This window comes from Homo sapiens, chromosome 11 (assembly GCF_000001405.40).
Source record: "Homo sapiens chromosome 11, GRCh38.p14 Primary Assembly".
In the NCBI taxonomy this organism is placed as follows: domain Eukaryota; kingdom Metazoa; phylum Chordata; class Mammalia; order Primates; family Hominidae; genus Homo; species Homo sapiens.
Genome location: NC_000011.10, coordinates 120,127,595 through 120,147,310, shown reverse-complemented (window position 1 = coordinate 120,147,310; position 19,716 = coordinate 120,127,595). Strand labels below are relative to the sequence as shown.

General features: G+C 52.2%; 1 protein-coding gene and 1 long non-coding RNA gene across 8 annotated transcripts in view; one reads left to right on the top strand and one right to left on the bottom strand.

Moving 5' to 3' along the window:
- Positions 1 to 6,836: 6,836 nt before the first annotated feature.
- LOC105369529 (uncharacterized) lies at positions 6,837 to 18,817 on the bottom strand. The gene is made up of 3 exons (XR_948100.3): positions 18,621 to 18,817; positions 8,874 to 8,964; positions 6,837 to 8,551 (listed from the first exon to the last, which is right to left on the bottom strand). It is a non-coding gene; the product is annotated as an uncharacterized LOC105369529 (long non-coding RNA).
- Positions 9,198 to 19,716, top strand: part of TRIM29 (tripartite motif containing 29) — a 26,828-nt gene continuing 16,309 nt past the window's right edge. For 3 of the 7 annotated variants that reach the window (NM_012101.4, XM_047426689.1, XM_047426688.1), the window contains exons 1-2: positions 9,198 to 10,083; positions 18,816 to 18,911. In NM_012101.4, coding sequence (NP_036233.2) covers positions 9,280 to 10,083; positions 18,816 to 18,911 — 900 coding nt within the window. In that variant the 5' untranslated portion in view covers positions 9,198 to 9,279. Of the gene's footprint in view, positions 10,084 to 18,457; positions 18,664 to 18,815; positions 18,912 to 19,716 lie in introns of those variants that run through there. The other 4 variants (XM_005271490.2, XM_011542733.2, NM_001330382.2 and 1 more) reach the window with 2 other exon arrangements.

Below are 19,716 nucleotides of genomic sequence, written 5' to 3'. Positions count from 1 at the left end.
GAAGCTGCCACACCCAGCCTCCCTGCCTGGATGACGAGGACTCCAAGGTGGGCCCCCGCCCAGCCCTTCCTAGAGCAGCACATGGCTCCAGCAGGATGGCACTGAGATGGTGCCTGAGTGCCCCCTCACTCTGTCCCCTTCCTCCCTCCCATTCCTCTCTCCCTAGAGTCTCAGGCAGGGCAGTGACCTAGGCAGAGCTGGGTCATCTCCTTCCGGGCCATCCACACCTCCCATCTCTGCGGGGTCAGGCTGCCTCCTCCTGCTCCCTGGGCCTCCCCCGAGTGCTCTGCTCTGGGTCTGCATCTGGGTCACGTTTGGGTTATGGCTGCAGCTCTGGTTCGGGTCCTGGGCTCAGCTGTGTCCCCAGGTGAGTCCATACACAGGGAGCCGGGCCTTGCCTGGGATAGCAAAGCAGCTTCTGACCACAGAGCCTCTTCCTGGGACGGGAGTCTCCCCCATTCTGAGCTCAGGAGGCCAGGGTGGGCACGGGTGCTGCCACGTGGAATGAGACGGCTCTGGGGCACCTCAGGAGTAGAGGCTGGAAGAACATGAAGGGCATGGAAAAAACTTTTAGAGACAGCGCAGAAGTAGCTGTTAGACTCAATTTCGTTAGCACACTTGGCTCAGGAGGAAAAAATTCACAGCACAGTTCAAGGGATTAGAGGGAGAGTTCTGGAGTCAGAGTACATGGAGTTCCAAACCCAGTTCTGCTAGTTATTCACCTTGTGACCTTGGGCAGGTTACTGAAACTCTGTGTGTCTCGGTTGCTTCATATTTAAAACGGGAGAATGGAAGTACCCACTTCGTACTCCTTATGGGAGGACTGATTGTTAAGCATGTTAAGGGTCTAGCACAGTGCCTGGTACAGGGTTAGTGCTTAATGAAAATGATAATAATGTTATTTCTTGTCATTATTTTGTCCAGTTTCTCTGATGGACAGAGGAGTGACCTTTGCCCATCACCCACTCAGGGGGGTCTCCCAGGGGTTTTTCCCCTCCATCCATTGGATGAGAACTTGCAAGTAGCAGGGTATGCCTCACCAACCTCATTTAGGAGGGGAAATGCTTAGGTTTTGGAGCTGAGATACCTGGCTTTATTGATTAATAGTTGAGTGACTGAGGGCAAATTGCTTAACTTCTCAGTCTTAATTTATTCGTCAGTAAGATGAGGCTGATGTTCTCTCAGGGGTTAGTAGTGAAGTCCAGACAGCACGAATAGATGGTACAGGGCTGAGCCCGGCTCTGCTGTGTGGCCTTGGGCAAGTTGCTTTACCTCTCTGGGCCTTTATTTCCTTACCTATACCATGTACCATGGAATTAGGGGTACTCTATATGAAGTGCTTGGCACAGAGTATGCCCTCAACAAAGAATAGTAGCCAGCCTTGTTATTCTGATGGTGGCAATGACGATGAAGAAGGGAAGAAGCTCAGGGTCTGGGAGGGAACTGGTCGAGTCTGGATGTTTCTTGGGAGTCAGTGCTACTGCAGCCTCAGGATAAGGGGCGCGTCTTCTTTTCCCTAATGCCTTCCTGAATTGGGGCAGGTTCATACTCAATGTGCGTGGAAGGAGTGAGGAAGAAAGACGTCTTCTGAGGTCTGAGGAAGACAAGTTGCAGTTAACACTGCAACAAGGAACAAGCCCAGGGCACAAGCTTCTCTCTGATTGACCCCATGTAAGCTCTGGGCCTCCTGGGCTGACACTCCACTGTGCCCAGGGGCAGGGCCAGGGAGTGCTGCTGGGCTATCCCCACCACGCCTGTTCAATTTGCTCTTCGATTTTTTTTTCTTTGCTCTTATTTTTCACAATTCTGGGGAAATTGGTGTCTAGAATTCAAATAGCAAAGAGAAAACCCAGAGGTCGTCTAATTCATTTCCTAACACAAATAACCTCCCCACAAGTCCTGTGAAATAGTTGATGTTATTTGGGCAAGGCAGGCACCCCACTGTCTAACTTCAATCCCTCTAGCTGCCTGTTAGTCGGTTCCCCATCCTCTCTGACTTTGCCCTCTAAAGGGATGGAGAGAAACCAACCAGTGCCTCCATCCAAATAACCCTCTCTAGGTAAAGAAGGGTGTTATTAAAACACCCCTTCTCCAGGCTAAGTAATCCCAGTGCCTTTAACCCTTTCCTCTCAGGTCCTGTTTTCCAAGTCTTTAATTATTTTTACTGCCCTTCTCTGCATTTTAGGATGCAACCCTATAATCATAGAATTTCAGGGCTGGAAGGTACCTGGGAGATGACATGGAGGAGAGCCAGGAGCAGACGGTTAGAAGCCTTGCCCGCCCCAGCTTCTGGAGCAGGAAGAAAGCCCTGGCAATTCCTCTTCACCAGGCTGTCTCCAGTCCTTCTCCAGCAGAGAAAATCCTGCTCATTTTCCCTCAAAGTGAAATATTCAACAAAAATGTACTGAATAGTTCTTGGGAGCCAGGCACAGTCTCGGCATTTTCACAATTTCTCACCTTCCCTAATCCCCCAACGGTCCTGCCAGGGTGCTAGGATCAGCCTCATTTCGTAGGCAAGGAGACTGGCTCAGGGAGATTAAGTAACTTGCCCAAATTCACATATCAAGAAAGTTCTGGGGCTCTTCCGCCCCAGGTCTGGCTGCACCCACAGCCAGCCAGTCCCTCAGGCCCCGGGTGAAGTTCTTCTCCCACGGAGAAACCCTGACAAAGTTCTGGGCATCCAGAGCTGGGCTGTAGCAGGACTCAGGATCCCGCAGAGAGACAGAGCCAATAGGACCTATAGTTATATGAAGAGATTTGTTTCCAGGAATTGGCTCATGAGATTGTTGGGGATGACAAGTCGGAAATCCAGAGGGCAGGCAGGAGTTGATACTGCAATCTTGGGGCAGAACTTCTTTTTCTCTGAGAAACCTCGGTTTTTAACCCTTAGGGCCTTCCCACTGATCAAATGCAGTACACCCACATTATTGAGGATAATCTCCTTTATTTAAAGTCAACGGACTGTAGGTGACTTTATTCTCACAGCAACACCCAGATTAGTGTTTGATTAAATGACTGGGTGCTGTAGCTTAGCCAACTTGACACAGGCAAGTACCCATCACAGCATTGTTTATGGGTGTTGATGGGTGGGGGGGCACAGGGCCCCCAAGGCATCTGATCCAATGGGCATTTTCCACAGAGTCCTAAGCCAGTGTTGGGAAGCTGCCAGGGGACTTGAGGACCTCCCCATTATGCAAGAGTCCTAGGTCAATTTGTACTACCAGACTCAGACCTGATCACCTTCCCCTGGGGATGCCCTGTCTTGATGCTGCTCAATTGAGAGCTACAGTTAGGACCCAGTGTCTTCTCAGGGGATAAAAGCCTTGGAAGTATAGCAGGACAAGCCGCAGACAAAACCCCTCAGGCACCGAGTTAAAGAAGGAAGGGCTTTATTTGGCTGGGAGCTTCAGCAAGACTCACATCTCCAACAACCACGCTCCCCGAGTGAGCAATTCCGGTCCCTTTTAAGGGCTTACAACTCTAAGGGGGTCTGCGTGAAAGGGTCGTGATCGATTGAGCAAGCAGGGTGTACGTGACTGGGGGATGCATGCACCGGTAATTAGAATGGAACAGAACAGGACAGGGATTTTCACAGTGCTTTTCTATACAATGTCTGTAATCTATAGATAACATAACCAATTAGGTTATGTTATCTAACCGATTAGGTTATGTCTTTAACTACCAGGCCCACGGTGTGGCGCCGGGCTGTCTGCTTGTGGATTTCATTTCTGCCTTTTAGTTTTTACTTTTTCTTTCTTTGGAGGCAGAAATTGGGCATAAGACAATATGAGGGGTGGTCTCCTACCTTAGAAGGAGCCAAGGGTAGGAGCAAGAGGACTGTTGCTTGAATCCTAAGGGACCCAGTGAACTAACAGCCCTTGAGGGTGAGGACAGTATCTTCTTATTCTCTGTACACTAGGGCTGGGACCATGCCCAGCCCCCTGGAGAGGTGCCACAAATGTCTTTTCCTTTTACTTCCCCTCCCCTCCCAGGTAGGGTACCTGAAACCCTCCGGGCAGGTAGAAATCAGTCCTATTTTTGAAGGGCTTCCAAGAAAGGAATTTATGATCACAGAAACAGTACTGCTCCATCTATAGAGTTCTTCCTAATATATAATCTAAATCCTTCCAATTTCAGGACAAATTCTGTTGTATTAGGATAACAGGCATGAGAAAATTAGACTTTAGAAATTTTATTATTGCTATAAAGTTTTGAACCGCCATAGGCTTTTTGCTGCTGTCTACAGCTAGAGGTACGAAAAGAGGACAAGGGCACCAAGAAGTCAAAAGAGACGGGGCACGGTGGCTCATGCCTTGATCCCAGCACTTTGGGAGGCCAAGGCCAGTGGATCACTTGAGGTCAGGGGTTCAAGACCAGCCTGGCCAACATAGTGAAACCCGTCTCTACCAAAAAATACAAAAATTAGCTGGGCGTGGTGGCACAGGCCTGTAGTCCCAGGCACTGGGAGGCTGAGGTGGGAGAATAGCTTGAACCTGGGAGGCGGAGGTTGCAGTGAGAGATCACACCAAGGCATTCCAGCCAGGGCAATAGAGTGAGACCCTGTCTCAAAAAAAAAAAAAAAAAAAGAAGTCAAAAGAACCATGTAAGCATTAAGACTGGATCAGACTCTTCCCCTCACAGAAACAATTACCTCACAGCTTCCCTTTTGCAGGGCCAGAGGCTCAGTTCCTTAACTCCAATTGAACAGTACACTTTCATTTATAGAGTATTTATGTTAGACCGAAAGAAGAACTTCCTGCAGCAAGCAGTCCTAAAGCTTGAAATGAATGGCTGAGGGAAGCTATGAAATCTTTTTTCTTGCCGGCCTTTTAAATAATATATAGTTCTTTAAAAGATACATCAAAGACTTTCTTGATATAGCCTTGCCCAGGGGCAAGGGGATGGACCGGTTGACCACTCCCTCCCAACCCTGGGACTCCAAGGAAGCCTGAGAAGTTTTCTCCTTTTAAGGGGTTTCCTCTTTCATCTAAAGATGATTGGTGACAGAATCAGGTGTTCCCAGGCCACACAGTAGGTAAGTGAAGGTGGCTCCACCTGCTGAATCAAGGGAGGCTGCCAGGAAGGGAACAGCTTTGAGGTGCCTCATGGGAGAAGCCTGGGAGGAGGCTTGGGGTTGGCCCACGGGTGCGTGTGGGAGGAGGGACTCTGTGGGGGCTTTCAGGCATGCCTGGTCTGACAGGGCCAAGCAGGAAGAGGTAGAAGTTGCCTCTGCTCCATAGGAATCCTTCTCTGGAAGCCACACCTGCCAGCTCTTCTTACCTTCTAAAGCTTGCAAGGGATGAGGCAGGGGCTGGCAGCCAGTCACATCTCACCACCACCTGGTATAGGGAGAAACATTGCAGCAGGAAGACTTTAAGCTAGACCAGAGGGAGAACAGGGTGAGATGTGGGAGGAGTGACTGGGGTGGGGGACTTCACGGGCTCCCTTTCTTTCAAGGCCTTTAAAAGTGAAGAGGCCTCTCTGCCACAGCAGTGCAGATGATGGTCTTCGGGGGCTTTTTGCCAAGTTGCACAGGACACATAGGCTCTGAGGGCCATTAGGAAATGCCCTTTATGGAACCTGTGCAACTGAGTTTGAGGCTGGAGAGGGGCAGGACCTCAGCAGACGCGGTTGCCTGTAGTCAGGTCCTGAGTGAGGGCCTGGGGAGCTTGGGGAGCGATCACCTTCCTATGAGGTGTGCAGTGCCCATCCAGACCTCAGACCTCCAGGGGTGGGAATCCTCTTCTTTGGTTCAGCTCCAGGAGGGATGTTGGGGTGGTGGGACGAGGGCTTGGGGACCAGCCCTGAAGGGACAATTGTTTGCTTCTTTTCAGCTCTTGGCTTCTGGGATCTCCAGGAGACTCTACCTTCTGCTAGGCATTTGGGTAGAGCAGTCCCTCAAGGGAAGAGGGGCCCTGCACCCTGGCCTAGGAGAACCAAAAGACCAGTCAACCAGCACCCACTGAGAATTCAGCTGAATAAATATCTGCTGAGTCAAGTCAAACACTGTCTCTGTGTAGCCAGGGAGGCCACTTATGTGCATGGAAAGCGAGCCATGCTCATCCTGGTTGGAGAGACCAGCCTCTCTCAGCACATGCTGGTTCCTCCCTCCTCTGAGCAGCCCAAGCCCCTCACACACATTTATCTCATTCACTGTTCATGCCAAATCCAAGTGATTTGCTTACTGATCTCTCCTCCCACTAAACTATGAACTCCCCAAGGGCATGATCTGGGACTCCTTCCTGTCCGTATGATCAGTCCCTTGCCTAACCCTGGCCCATGGTAGGATGCTCAACAAGTATGTGTGAATGAATGAATAATTAACAACACCAGGTGGGCTGAGCTAAATGCTTCCCGAGTAGGACAGGCAGGGATAGATGTTACAGGGGTTGAATGGGGGCAGTGGTCACTGGGCTTGGGTTAGGGAAAGCCTCTTGGAAGAGAGAAATTTGCCTCATCTTCCCTTTGCCTTGAATCACTTGAACCTGTTCCCCTGACATCCTCCAGCATCCATCTTTCTATCCTCCCTCTTATGTCTTCCACTTTGATCATGCACTAGTCCTCCAGCGATGCGTTGGAGCAGGCTCACTGGCTTGGGAGAGCTGACTGTGTGCATCTCTTTCCAGTGCTCTTCACATTGGTAGCTTGAGACTGACTAGGGTGAAATTTTCAAATGCTACAAACCAGTGCTTTTGTGCCTGGAAGAGTCCGTTGCTAAACTTTTATCAGCATACCTTGCAATCCACTCACTCACCTACTTACTGCCTATCTGTCTCCTTCCTTCCTTACTCTTCCCTTCTCTTTCCTCTCTCCTTCCCATGTATCACCCTTTCTTTCTCTCTTCTTCCATTCTTTTAAAAATTCTTTTACCCATTTCTTCAACTATCTGTCCATCCATCCATCCACCCATTTCCTTATTCATATTCATCTAGTTTTTACTTATTTCATTTACCCATCCATCTACCCATCCATCCATTCATCCATTTGTTCATCATCCAACCACCCACTTATCCATTATCTACACATCTTATCCATCTGTTCATTTATTTCCCAATTCACATTCATCTAGCTTTAACTTCTTCCATGCATTCATCCATCCATCCATCCATCCATCCATCCATCCATCCATCCGTCTGTCCATCCACCCACCCACAAATATTCTCTGAACATTTACTCTGTGTCAGCCTATTCCTAAGGTTCAGAATCTTTCCCCAGATTTCTGGAAGATGGGTGCATGAACTGTAAGAACTAGCGGAGGCCCTCCAGGGTGCCCCAGGCTCATCCAGCATTGATGTTGGACTGTAGCCAGAACCCAATGACTTTCCTCTTCTGTTTCTTTGTGTCCTCTCTGTTCTTTTCTCCTCACCGCCTGTTCTCTCCAGGTTAGGGAAATATTATTAGGGAAAGGGGAGGGGCATGTCCCAATCCAGCAGGCCAGGACAGGACTTCCTTCTCTCCTTCTCCCTCCGTACCTCAGGCAAGAGCCCAGAGAAATTGGGCCTGGCATTTTGAGTAAGTGTCCCCCTCCCCAGAAGGCCCAACAAGCTCTTAGCCAATTCACCAGTGAGTTCAAACAAGAGGGGGCTCCTTTGGGGCCCACAGACAGAGACCTCAGGCAAGAGGAGAATCCCCGTCATGAAGCCAGCACTCCCCACGCCAACACCACCTCACATACATCCTCTCATAAGTGAACTGCTTTGTGAGGTGGGCTTGTCTCTGCCCTTGTTCCCAGGGGCTGTTTTTGCAAAGGATTAGCTGCTCAGCCTGGTGAGGCAAAGGGGCGGGGGCTTCCTAGCTTGACATGGATTGGAGGGGAAGGAAGGGAAACCCATTCCCCTCCACACAGCCCAGAACCTGCCACGCCAGCCTCACCTACTGTCTGCTCTGCCCTGCCCAGCCTGGCCTTGGAGAGGCACGGCCCTTTCCTTAGGGGTTTGGAGGCTTCCTAGGACCAGGTCAATGGGTCAGAGCCCAGAAGTGGCTGGGGGGCATGTCCTACAAGAGCTAAGGGTCCTGGTGTTCCGCAGGGGCCACGGAGAGGAAGGGGATGAAGTTTGTTTTTCTCACTTTTCTTCCTGAGGTCTGTATTTATATGATAGTCATATTTGAACAGGTGACTTCTGAGATTATCTGAATCTCACACTTTGCTGACCTCTTTTTGGAGGGCATTGCCTGTGGCCTGGCCCAGAGAGGATGGGCAGGTGTTTTCTGAGTCACACAGCAGACCAAGTGTGGAGACAGGTGAGAGTCAAGTGTTTGGGCCCTGAGGACCCAACCACCTGGGCTGGCATTGCTTGGATTCCCCTCATTGTTGTGCCTTGGTCATTTGAATCCACGCAGGTAGCAATAATCTAAGGTCTATATGTATCTTGTTGGGGCCATTGGGATAGGACAGACTCTCAGAAGCCATCTTCTGATGAGATATTCAGGTGACTCCATGACCACCCAGCTGAAGAAGGGACTTTGGCTTCTCAAAGGCTTAGGGTTCAAATCCCAGCTCGGCCACTTGACTTAGGCCAGTGAGTTATCTTCTTAAAGCCTGTTTTCTCATCTGTTAAAAAGGGGTAATTGAACAGGTTTTAGGGAAGCCTGAATGAGCTCGTAATATATGCAATACCTAGGAAAGTGCCTGGAGGTTGGCAAGTAGGGTTCAATACTCAGTAGCCAAATCAAATGGAACCCATCCTTCCCCCTTAAGGTGAAAAGCAGCGATACAGTCCCAGGGTGGACAATCTTTCCTCTGAAACTCAGGCCTGCAAATTACAAGGCTATTTGGCTTGTGTGACCCAGTTAACAGCCCTGTGTCTGGTAGGCCTCTGCAGACACCTCACCTTCTGCCCCAGGGGCCTCTGGGCTCAGTGAAGCCTGCCCACTTGTGAAGACGGAGACTCCCCGCTCCCCGGATGAGAAGCAAGTGCGTCAGAGGGAAGCAGCCCAACTGGTTGCTGAGTTGTGGAAAATAAGCTGGGGGAGAAAAAACACTTCTTTTAAAAATCAGGTTAGGGATGAATGTGCAGGGCGTGGTTCCTGTGCAATTATCTGCTCTGCTGGCTGCGGGGCTCCCTGCTTCTCCCGGGCCGCTGTGTCAGGCTTGTGCCTGTTGCTCCTCCCCTCCACTCCTCCCCCTCCTCCTCCTCCGCCTCCTCCCCCTCCTCCTCCTCACAGGTGTGTCTCTAGTCCTCGTGGTTGCCTGCCCCACTCCCTGCCGAGACGCCTGCCAGAAAGGTCACCTATCCTGAACCCCAGCAAGCCTGAAACAGCTCAGCCAAGCACCCTGCGATGGAAGCTGCAGATGCCTCCAGGAGCAACGGGTCGAGCCCAGAAGCCAGGGATGCCCGGAGCCCGTCGGGCCCCAGTGGCAGCCTGGAGAATGGCACCAAGGCTGACGGCAAGGATGCCAAGACCACCAACGGGCACGGCGGGGAGGCAGCTGAGGGCAAGAGCCTGGGCAGCGCCCTGAAGCCAGGGGAAGGTAGGAGCGCCCTGTTCGCGGGCAATGAGTGGCGGCGACCCATCATCCAGTTTGTCGAGTCCGGGGACGACAAGAACTCCAACTACTTCAGCATGGACTCTATGGAAGGCAAGAGGTCGCCGTACGCAGGGCTCCAGCTGGGGGCTGCCAAGAAGCCACCCGTTACCTTTGCCGAAAAGGGCGAGCTGCGCAAGTCCATTTTCTCGGAGTCCCGGAAGCCCACGGTGTCCATCATGGAGCCCGGGGAGACCCGGCGGAACAGCTACCCCCGGGCCGACACGGGCCTTTTTTCACGGTCCAAGTCCGGCTCCGAGGAGGTGCTGTGCGACTCCTGCATCGGCAACAAGCAGAAGGCGGTCAAGTCCTGCCTGGTGTGCCAGGCCTCCTTCTGCGAGCTGCATCTCAAGCCCCACCTGGAGGGCGCCGCCTTCCGAGACCACCAGCTGCTCGAGCCCATCCGGGACTTTGAGGCCCGCAAGTGTCCCGTGCATGGCAAGACGATGGAGCTCTTCTGCCAGACCGACCAGACCTGCATCTGCTACCTTTGCATGTTCCAGGAGCACAAGAATCATAGCACCGTGACAGTGGAGGAGGCCAAGGCCGAGAAGGAGGTAAGTGCTGGGGCCCCTCCTGCCCCTCCAGGCCTCTCCTCTCTCACCCCACCCCTCCGAACTTCATCTTCTCCACTCGGGCTTCCTCGGGTTTGGGGCTTAAGTTTCTACTGTCCTTGGCTCTTTTAGAAAACATTTATTTCCCCTCATGCCCCCTGTCCCCCCTAATCCCAGCTGGGGATCAGAGGTTGCTCCCCAATCCCCTAAGGTCTCAGGAGACAGGGACATTTTCTAGATGAGCGGATGGAGACTCAGAAAAGGTTGAGGGCCTGACCAAAGTCATAGGATAAATTCGAGTCAGGTTAGAGAGTATGACCCAACTGCATAGACCTCACTTCTGGGCTCTGTGCCTGGCTGAGGTGTTTCTTTCTTCTTCTTCTCCTTCTCCCTCTTCCTCTTCTTCCTCCTCTTCTTCTTCTTTTATTTTTTTTTTTTTTTGCTTTGAAGAAGAGATAATTCCTCCAACCTGAGTCGGACTGGCCCCTGGGGAATGGGTTGTGGGTGAGGAAAGATACTAGAAGGAGAGAATTTTGGGGCCCACTGAAAGGTCCTTCTTGCTGTCTTTGTAGTTTTTATTGTCGTACAGTGGCTTCTTGTTCTAGCTGATCCCCAGCTGGTCTCTTGACTTCCTCCACAGCCTCCTTTATCCTTCTCCCAGCTGGGCCCTGTGTTTTGCGTGTGTGGTTGTGTGTGGACACACATATTCCTGCAGGCGGACACCGTTGGGGAAGTTTGGAGTTTGTGTGTGGATGGCGTGTACGTGTACAGCTAGTCCCTGACTTAGGATGGTTTGATTTACAATGATGTGAAAGTGCTATGCTTTCAGTACAGTATTCCATAAAATCCAACACTTTATTACAAAATAGGCTTTGTAGTAGAAGATTTTGCCAAACTGTCGGCTAATGTAAGTGCTCTGAACAAGTTTAAGGTAAGCTAGGTTAAGCTATGATGCTTGGTAGGCTAGGTGTATTAAAAGCATTTTTGACCTATCACATTTTCAACTTACAATGGGTTTATTGGTAAATAACCCCATCACAAGTTGAGGAGCATCTGTATATGTGTTTATTTTATGTGCACGTGGGTGTTTTTGTGCCTTTGTGGATGTTTGCATGTATTCATATATGTGATACGTAAGTGTGTTTGCATGAGTTCTATGTGACTGTGCCTGTACTTCTATGGGGAGGAGCAGAGGCAAGTGCAGGCTTGTGGATGTAGCATACCTGGGGAAGGTGATTTGGGCAAAGGGCCCAGCTGTGGCCACTGCCCTTTGCCCCACAGATGTGGGGCTCACTCTTCCCTAAGGTACACAGCTTCCTGCTGTGGGTGGCCTTCCTGGGGCAAACCTTCCTGGCCTCCAAAGCAGTGAACTCCACTTTCCTGAAGAGCTTCTGCACACCTCAGATCTGGACAGCAGAGGATTCCTTCCTGCCCAGCCTTCCTGACCAGGAGGAGCTGGTTGATTACTCTTTCCCTTCATCTCTCACCCACACCCCTGGACAGAAAGGGCTGAGGTAGAGAGGGGAACAGACTCACAGATTCCTTCCAGAAGCCTCGTTTGGCCCAGGAAGAAGATGTTTCCAGCTTCCCCCATCTTCTGACCCCAGCGTGGCCTCAGGTTTCATACTGAGAGATATAGATGGGACGGGGCCATGAAACTCATTCTAGGGAGTTTACTTGGGAGGTTAGACAGAACAAGAGGCAATCATCCTCATCACAGCAGCTGAGAAATTGCAGAGCCTCAGACAAGGTTTTAGGAAATGTGACCGAGTTCCAGTCCCAGTTTTTGCCTCTAACTAACTGTAAGGCTGTGAATAAGTCCTTTCCACGCTCAGTCTCATTCTCCCAAGGGGTGAGGCTAGATTGTTGGTTTTCAAATTACCCCACAGAGCCCTGGAATTCTTAGACATGTCTTCGAGGCCTCAGGATGAGGAGGGGGTAAAGAAGTGTCAAGAAGGCGGAGCATTCAGGTTCCCACCTCGACTACAAGCAAAGGACATTCTTATTGATTATCTTCTATGTGGGTTTGGCCTCAAATTTGGTCTCAACCAAGGATATCTCTGCTTAAGCCTGGGCACCCCTGGAAGATGTGGTTCTGGTGGGCAGGAGGGTCTTGGGCAGCCCTATGTGGATGTGCCAGGAGCTCAGAGTTCAGAGTTCGGGTTCTGGCATGGGGGCCGCTGAGGGACTCACAGTTCTTCCTTGAGGGAGGGCTCATGATGTGGGTCAGGAGGCAGGGCTCATACACACAAACAGGACTGGGGAGCGCCCGTCTAGTTACACAGAGCGGCTAGAAGTTAACGTCAAACCGTAGTAGACAGAATGCCGGGCCAACAGAGTATTAGCCACCCCCTCAGTGTCCTCCCTCACCTTGCAGATAGGGACACAGGCACAGAGGAAGGAAGGGGCCTGTCCAAGGTCCTTGTTTGAGGAGGAAGCCCCCTAAGCCCTCTTCCAGTGTTTGAGAGTGCCTCAGGGAAAGGGCCCCAAGGGGATGGGATTGGGATATGTGTGTTTTAGGAGAAAATGCCTGGTCCTCTAAAGTGACTGTGATGGTGGGAGCTTCAGGTAGCCTCCGTGTGTGTGCACACACATGTGCACCTGCAGCATAGGGCTAGGCGGGGAGAAGTGGAGCCAGGAAGCCAGGAGACTGAGCTGGGCACACGGGCTGTCTCGGCCTGGCTCTGCTGGAATGTCACAGGTGGGGGACATTGGCACAGAGCAGGGTTAGTGGGTAGATGGGCCAAAGTGAATGAGCATGCCAGTCCTGGCATCCTTTTGAGGCATCTCCTGCAGACCCAAACATCAGCCCACGCATAGCTGTTTGCAAGTGGCTTTGTTCAGAACCCGTTCCGCAGGCCAGTGGTGAAGGCCCAGGTGATACAGCCTCAGACCTGCCTCGGTTGGTGGTGTGAGGCTACGATGACACCCAGGGCTGTGGGTGCCTGTCTTCTGGGCCTCAGCTCTACCTACAGACTCTGAGCAGAGTCTCTGTTAGAAAAAGATCGCTTGGTGCGGCAACATGACAGCACCTTCCTCTGGTGGTCCCTGGGTCAGCATGTTTCCAGTGCCACCCCAAATGTCACAATAGGCCTCATACATGTCCTCCTGTCTTCCCCTCTGCCACTGAACACTTCCCAGGCTAGGTTAGGTGGGTGAGATTGAAATGTACACATACATCCCTTTCTGTGTCTTATGGCCCTTCCTTCTGCCTATCTCAAGCTTCAGCAGGCCAGGATGTTAAGACCTCCTGGGTGGACGGCTGGCTGCTCTTGGGGGGCCCTGCACTGTCATGGATCTGGCCTGCTCTGGGGTGGCAGCATGACGAGGCGTGTGTGGAGGTCACTCAGCTAGGAGCATTGCTTTGGAGAGGCTTAGCCTCACACCTCCTCCACTCTCTCAACCCCACCATTTGGTTCAGTTCAGTTCTCTCACCACATCTGTGGCTTTGTTTCTCGTCTCATTCCCAATTCTAACACAAAAGCTGAGCCACTGGCTGCTGGGCATGGGCAGCCGCTGGTCCTTGCTTTTCTGAGCAGCGCTGGTCTGCCCAGGAAAGCTCTTTGGGATTCGGGAAGGGGAGCCAGGCTAAAGGCCAGGGTGCCCTGGAGGGGCTGGGCCCACTTTCCCTGGAGACCTTGGTGACTTTGGGGGAGAATGCTTGCCCTGGGACAGGGTGGGTGAGAAAGGAGGTAGGGGGGCCTCTCTGGGTGCTAAGGGGGAAATAACAAAATAAAAGAAGCTTGGAGACAGGAAGCAGGGGAGCAAAGTGACAGGCAGGCAGGAGGCAACCCAGTGTCTGTGGCACACACCTGAGTGCCAGTGCCGGGCCCAGCATGTCCTACTTGTAGATGAAGAAACAAGGTCAAAGTCGTCAAGAGACTTACACAAGTTACAGCACTCAAGAGTGGCAGAGCTGGGATTCCTCTCCGCTATTTTAAGCCTTTTTGTTCCTGTAGGATTGGAAGGGTCTTCTTGAGATCACCGAGTCCAGTGGCTCCCAAACAGCAATCCCCAGACCAGAATCAGCTGGTGAATTGTTGAAACACAGATTCCCAGGCCTTAGCCCAGGAGGTATTTTAAAGGTCTCCCTAGAGAATTCTAATGTGTAGCTGGGTTGGGAATCAGAGATCTAGTCCAATTTCACCACAAGGAAACCAAGGCCCAGGAAGGGGAGGTTCCCACTGTGCCTGCGTCCCCATCTGCAAGGTGAAGGAGGAGACTGAGGGGGGTGCTAACTCTCTGTGGGCCTGGCATTCTGTCTTCTTCCCCACTCTTGGCTGGAGATGGCCAGGGTGATACCTTCCTTGCCCCATCTCACCCCTCCCCTGACCTGAGGCTGTGAGGAGGCAAAAGGAACAGTAAATCTCAGTCAAACAGACTAACTGATCCTGGGCTGTTTTACGTCCGAGTGGAAATGGGGAAATCTATCCAGCATTTCAGATTCTTATCCAGATAATTACCATTTGTCTGAGAGTACAAATTTGGCAATTAACTGGCTCATTTGGCAAATGTCACAGCCGATGGCCCATGTAGTGAATTCAGGCCAGGGGAAGATCATGGCCAGTCCTCTCCTCCCTGGAGCCAGTGCAGGTACACCTATCCGGGTGGGTGCTCAGGTGTGTCTCCACCTGAAGACCACGTCCAGGTTGAGGCACTGCTAGCTGCTGCACCACCCATCTGCTCTCGGGAAAACCTCTGCTCACCCAAGGCTGAAGGATTTCAAGGTTAGGTGGCCCATGCAGGGCCCGTTCCTGGCATCAGAGAGCAAGAGGCAAACAGACAGGTGTGGGAGAAGGGAACAAAGGAGTCATTTAGGGACAGGCCTGGGCAGGGAGGAATGAAGCGGAGAGTAGGAAGTCAGGAGGGAGGTGTGGGCAGGGCGGGACTGTGGGGATCAGAGGCCCTGTCAGCCATCAGGGCCTTCAACCACTTTCTGAGGGAAGAGGGAGAGAGGGAGAGAGAAAGCTGGGGCCTCAGAGGACAATGGGGAGGGTGCTGGGAGGGAAGCGGGGGCAAAAGGAAAGAGATGGAACTGCCAAAGTGCCATCTGCAAGGTGAAGGGAGCATGGGAGGGCTTAGGCCAGCAGGAGTGAAGGGGAAGGACGATGCCACAGAAGACACACAGGACAGCCTAGTGCCACCACCTCTAGGTGCGCCTCTTGAAGCACAGAATAGGATCTGAGTCCTGTTGTTGAAGCTTGGCCTTACCGCTTTCCAACTGTGAGAACTCAGGCAAGCTGTGTAATCTTTATAGGCCTCGGTTTTCACACCTGTGAAGTCGGAGGGATAATGCCACTTACCTCCACAGGAGGCTTTTGCTGGTTAAAGGAGAAAAGTCCTGGCACATACTAGATGCTCAGTAATCAACACTGCCTTCCTTCCCTCTCCTAGTGTTGAAGGAGAGCCCAGCGACTTTTAAACCTTCCCATGTTATATTACTTCCTATACAGGAAAAATTGCCAAGAGCTGAACAGACACAAGGTGCATCCCTAGCTGTCACCCCAAATGCTCCTCCCCCGACAGGGTAGGACTCATCCCAGAGGTGAGAAAGGACCATTCTAGCAGCACAGAGTTCCCAGTCCATGGGAACTCCAAGAGCCTGCTGTGTCCTGCCGGTCTGGTCTTGCAAGACATGCTGTGGGAACAAGGCCCCTTCCCAGCCTGTGTCCTACTTCTTCAGTGCCCCAAAGAAATAGGAGGCCAAGTCTCTCCTCCACCCTGACCGACTCTTCTGCCCACAGCTGCAGACAGTCTCCCCTTCTGGCCCTGCCCTCACAGGTTTCCACATCATCCGCCAACACCTCTGGCTCTACTCTCCACCCCTCGGTGCTCAACTAGCCCTATTGCCCTCTTCCCTTGTTCTCTTACACAGGATGGACTCCTGAGGGACTGGCCTCTCCCTGCCCTTGGCCTAGACACTTCTTTGTTCTAATCCCCATTGAATTCTGCATCCCTGAACTCACTATCTCCTTCGTCTGTCTTGGCCAATGAATCCACGCTCACCTGGGGAGACCTTTCCTCCTCTGCAGCCCCAACCATGCAGCCCTCACCTGGTCTCCCTGTGCACTTCTGCTCACTCCAGGCACTCAACTCCTGGCCTTCACCTTCTCTGGTCAGACCTTCTGCCACTTGCAGGTGGTTAGTCCACCCTCATCCCCTTTTGTCCTCCTTCATTTCCACCAGTGTCCTCCAATCTTCAATTATCCATGAGCTACGCTTCCCTCTTGCATTCAGCCCAGTGTCTTGACCTCACCAGCCTCTCTATGCACTCCCTACTGTTCACTCTGTGTCCGGACAGTGTACACACTTCATCTGGATCCCAATCTGACAGCGTACACTATCCTCACCACTGAACACCACCAACCCCTCACCTGACCACATCTGCTGTGCTCCTCACTTGCCAATGCCGGGCCCACCTGCCCACCATGCTGCACACACTGCTCCGAGCATGGTGTGAGTGAAAGCACCCAGCCTGGCCCCTGGTCCATGGAAGTTGCCCACACAATAGTGATGATGGGAACCATTGCTCAGACAGTGCTCACGCTGTGCCAAATGCTTTCTGGGGGCTTCACTCCCAATCCCAGGGCATCCCACAGCTTCCCTGGAAGGCAGGTCCTCTTCCTGCTCCCATGGACCAGACAGGGCTACTGAGGCACAGAGAAGCCAGGCAACTTTCAGAGGCACCTGCTGTCCTGTGCTCCTGGGGAGCCCCCTCTGAGCCCACCATTGCTCATTTCATGGAAGGGCTGCCCATCTCCTATTTGAGACAGGACTTTTACCAGCGCTGGGCCCTGGCCTATGGTGGGAGGGATTGTGTTTTGTTCTCTGCTTTCCTTTCCATCAGACCTTGTCCTCGGGGTGGTAAGGTGGGGTGAGGAACCCAGGTGCCAACTCCTCCATCACTGAGCTGGGTCAGGAGGTTGGGGGTCTCCAGCTGTTCCCTGACCTTGGACTTCACTCAGGAGTTCTCCAGGGATGAGAAAGGTGCTTCGGACAGACCCCCAGTCCACTCTCTTGGACTCTTCCTCACAGCTCAGATCTGCTTGCCAAATCCAGCCTCCTAAGAGGCCTTTGGGGCTGTGGGATCTGCCAGCCTGTGTTTCCTGGGCTCTTGGGCTCTGCATCGTCAGAGAGTGTGAGGGTCGAGTTTCTGCCATTACAGTGGGCCTGCTTTCTCTGTTTTCCACTCTCTCACCACCTTATTTAGTGGCTGCTGGCTTCTCTCCAGACTTTTTTCCAGAGATGGGGCCAAATCTCCATCCTCATCTCCTTAGGTCCTCTTTTCCATCTCTGGTGATGGTATTTTCCATGCTATGGCATTTCCGGCCGTTTGCTGGTGGGGCAAATGCTACTGAGAACAACTCTGAATCTCCCTGCCTGGAGAGTCCAGGAATGTGGTGGTGGGGGCGGGGAGGCCAGGGATTCAAGGACTCTCTGGGAAGCTCTGTGGCTCTTGCCCCATGCCTTCCCCACCCTCCGGGCACCTTTTCCAGGAAAGCCAGGGAAGCTCTATCTGCCATCGGATCCACTTCCCCGGGTGCCTGCAGGAGGTCCCCTGTTAGCACTTCCTTGGCCCGGTGGGGCGTTCAGAAGGTGTGCCGCATGGTGTTGCATGTGCCCAGGTGCTCATGACTCCTGGCTGATGGGACTCCCATTCCTAGAGGTTTGTGGCATCCTCACCTTGACTATTCTTTTGGGCTCCGCAAGGTGATGGCCAGAGAAAGGGGTGGGACTCTGCATTCAAAACCCAGTGGTAGTGGGGAGATCTGGAGCAATCCAAGGCTCTCTTGGATGCTTTGTTCTGTCAGGTGGAGATCATCCACCTATTGTCCATGCTAGAAGGGGCTTTGAGTGTCCTACAGGACAGCCCAGCAGAACAGAGGCTTGGCTGGATGGGATTGGCCTTAGCTTCATGCCTCTCCTTTTGTCTCTATTGTGGCTGCTTTTCAGAGAAGGGCATTTCCCCACATGAAAGGTGAGTATGGGAGTGAAAGCTAATGTCCCAGTGTGCTACTGATACAACCTCTTCCTAAACCACCCCAGACCCCAACAGTCTGTGTCCTCTTCCTGAGCAGGGGTCCCTACAACCTCTTCTTCCACTCTACACTGCCTTCCTCTCCAGCCTTCTCCTTCCCCAGAGCCCCTGGGTAAAAGTCTCCGTCTTGCCAAAACTGCAGAATGCCTTCCCTTTCCCATAAACAGGTTTTATAGCTGTGCCTGCCCAGACGGAGTCCACGCCGGCGGCAACCCTGGCTGCTGCTTGCAACACAGCCCTACGTCATGCCATAGAAACGCTGCACACTGTTACTGCCACGAGACACTCCCTGGGCTGGGCTGGGCTGAGCTGGGCTGGATCCCCTTCCTTTCTCTTCCCATTGTCCCCAGGTCCACTGAAAAGGGCAAGCACCCTGTAAATGAGTTTCCCTCCTGCTCTTGCTGGGTGGAGGAGATAGGCAGAGGTTTAGCCCTTAAAAAGACATGGCTAGGATATCCAGCCCTAGTGGCCTGAGAATACAGCAAGATGGTATTTAACTTACTGCTAGATCCTTGGCGACTGGCATGGTGCCTGGCATATCCGAGGTCCTGATGAATGTTTGCTGAATGAAGAGCTGAATAGATGAGTGATGAGCCCTGGCTGCGAGTGTGCCCCCTGAGTGGAGCCGCTCCCTGGTTCTCTGGTTCTCTTCCATCTCCTCCCCCTGACTTCTCCAATCCTGGCTCTTTCTCTGCAGACGGAGCTGTCATTGCAAAAGGAGCAGCTGCAGCTCAAGATCATTGAGATTGAGGATGAAGCTGAGAAGTGGCAGAAGGAGAAGGACCGCATCAAGGTGAGCAGCCCCCAAGCTCACCTTGCTGCTCCCTTACCCGACCTGGCCTGCCTGGAAAGACGCAGGCCTTGGCTCCCATTTGAGTCCCAGGCCCACGTAGACATCCCAATATGTTTCTTCTGGCTTCTCCCACCTCCTCTGACATTCTCACCAACTCCCCTTCTCAGTCTGAGCCAGGCACTCAGGTGGGATCCTGTCTGTGACCTAATGCCCATTTCATATTATCCCAGCAAGTAAAGACCCCAGACTTTCCTCCAGTGTGTCTTCCAATGTCCTCCAATGTCTGTTCTGCCCACAAGACTCCCCAGCCACCAAATACACACCATTTCTTCTCTACTTATGCCATTTTGGCTAAATGTATGTCTGCCATGGTTTGGGTAATTGCAAACCACAATCTGAAATCACTGCCTGCTTGACCCTGACTACATACACAGCCAGCATACACATTCATTTTCTGAATACACATTTCTACATATACATTCATTTTCTGAATAATGTTTGGTTCTGGTTAGGGTTTCAGGGAGCATATTGTGACCCATGGGAGAACTTTGGGGCCCACAGGGAATGATGGCTCATATCAACCCACCAAGAGGAAGGAGCCACAGGTAGATAAGAAGCGTGGACTGTGAACAAACCTGGCTATCTCTGTCAGTAGGTGGCATCCCTCAGTGATGCCTTTGAATGAGATTCTTGGCCAAATAGGCTTGCCAGGTTGGGGCAGTGGGAATGCCCTGATCCTGTGCTGGAAACCTAAAGACATACCCGACTAGGGTGATTTCTTTCCCTAACTAAAGCCCTGCCTAAT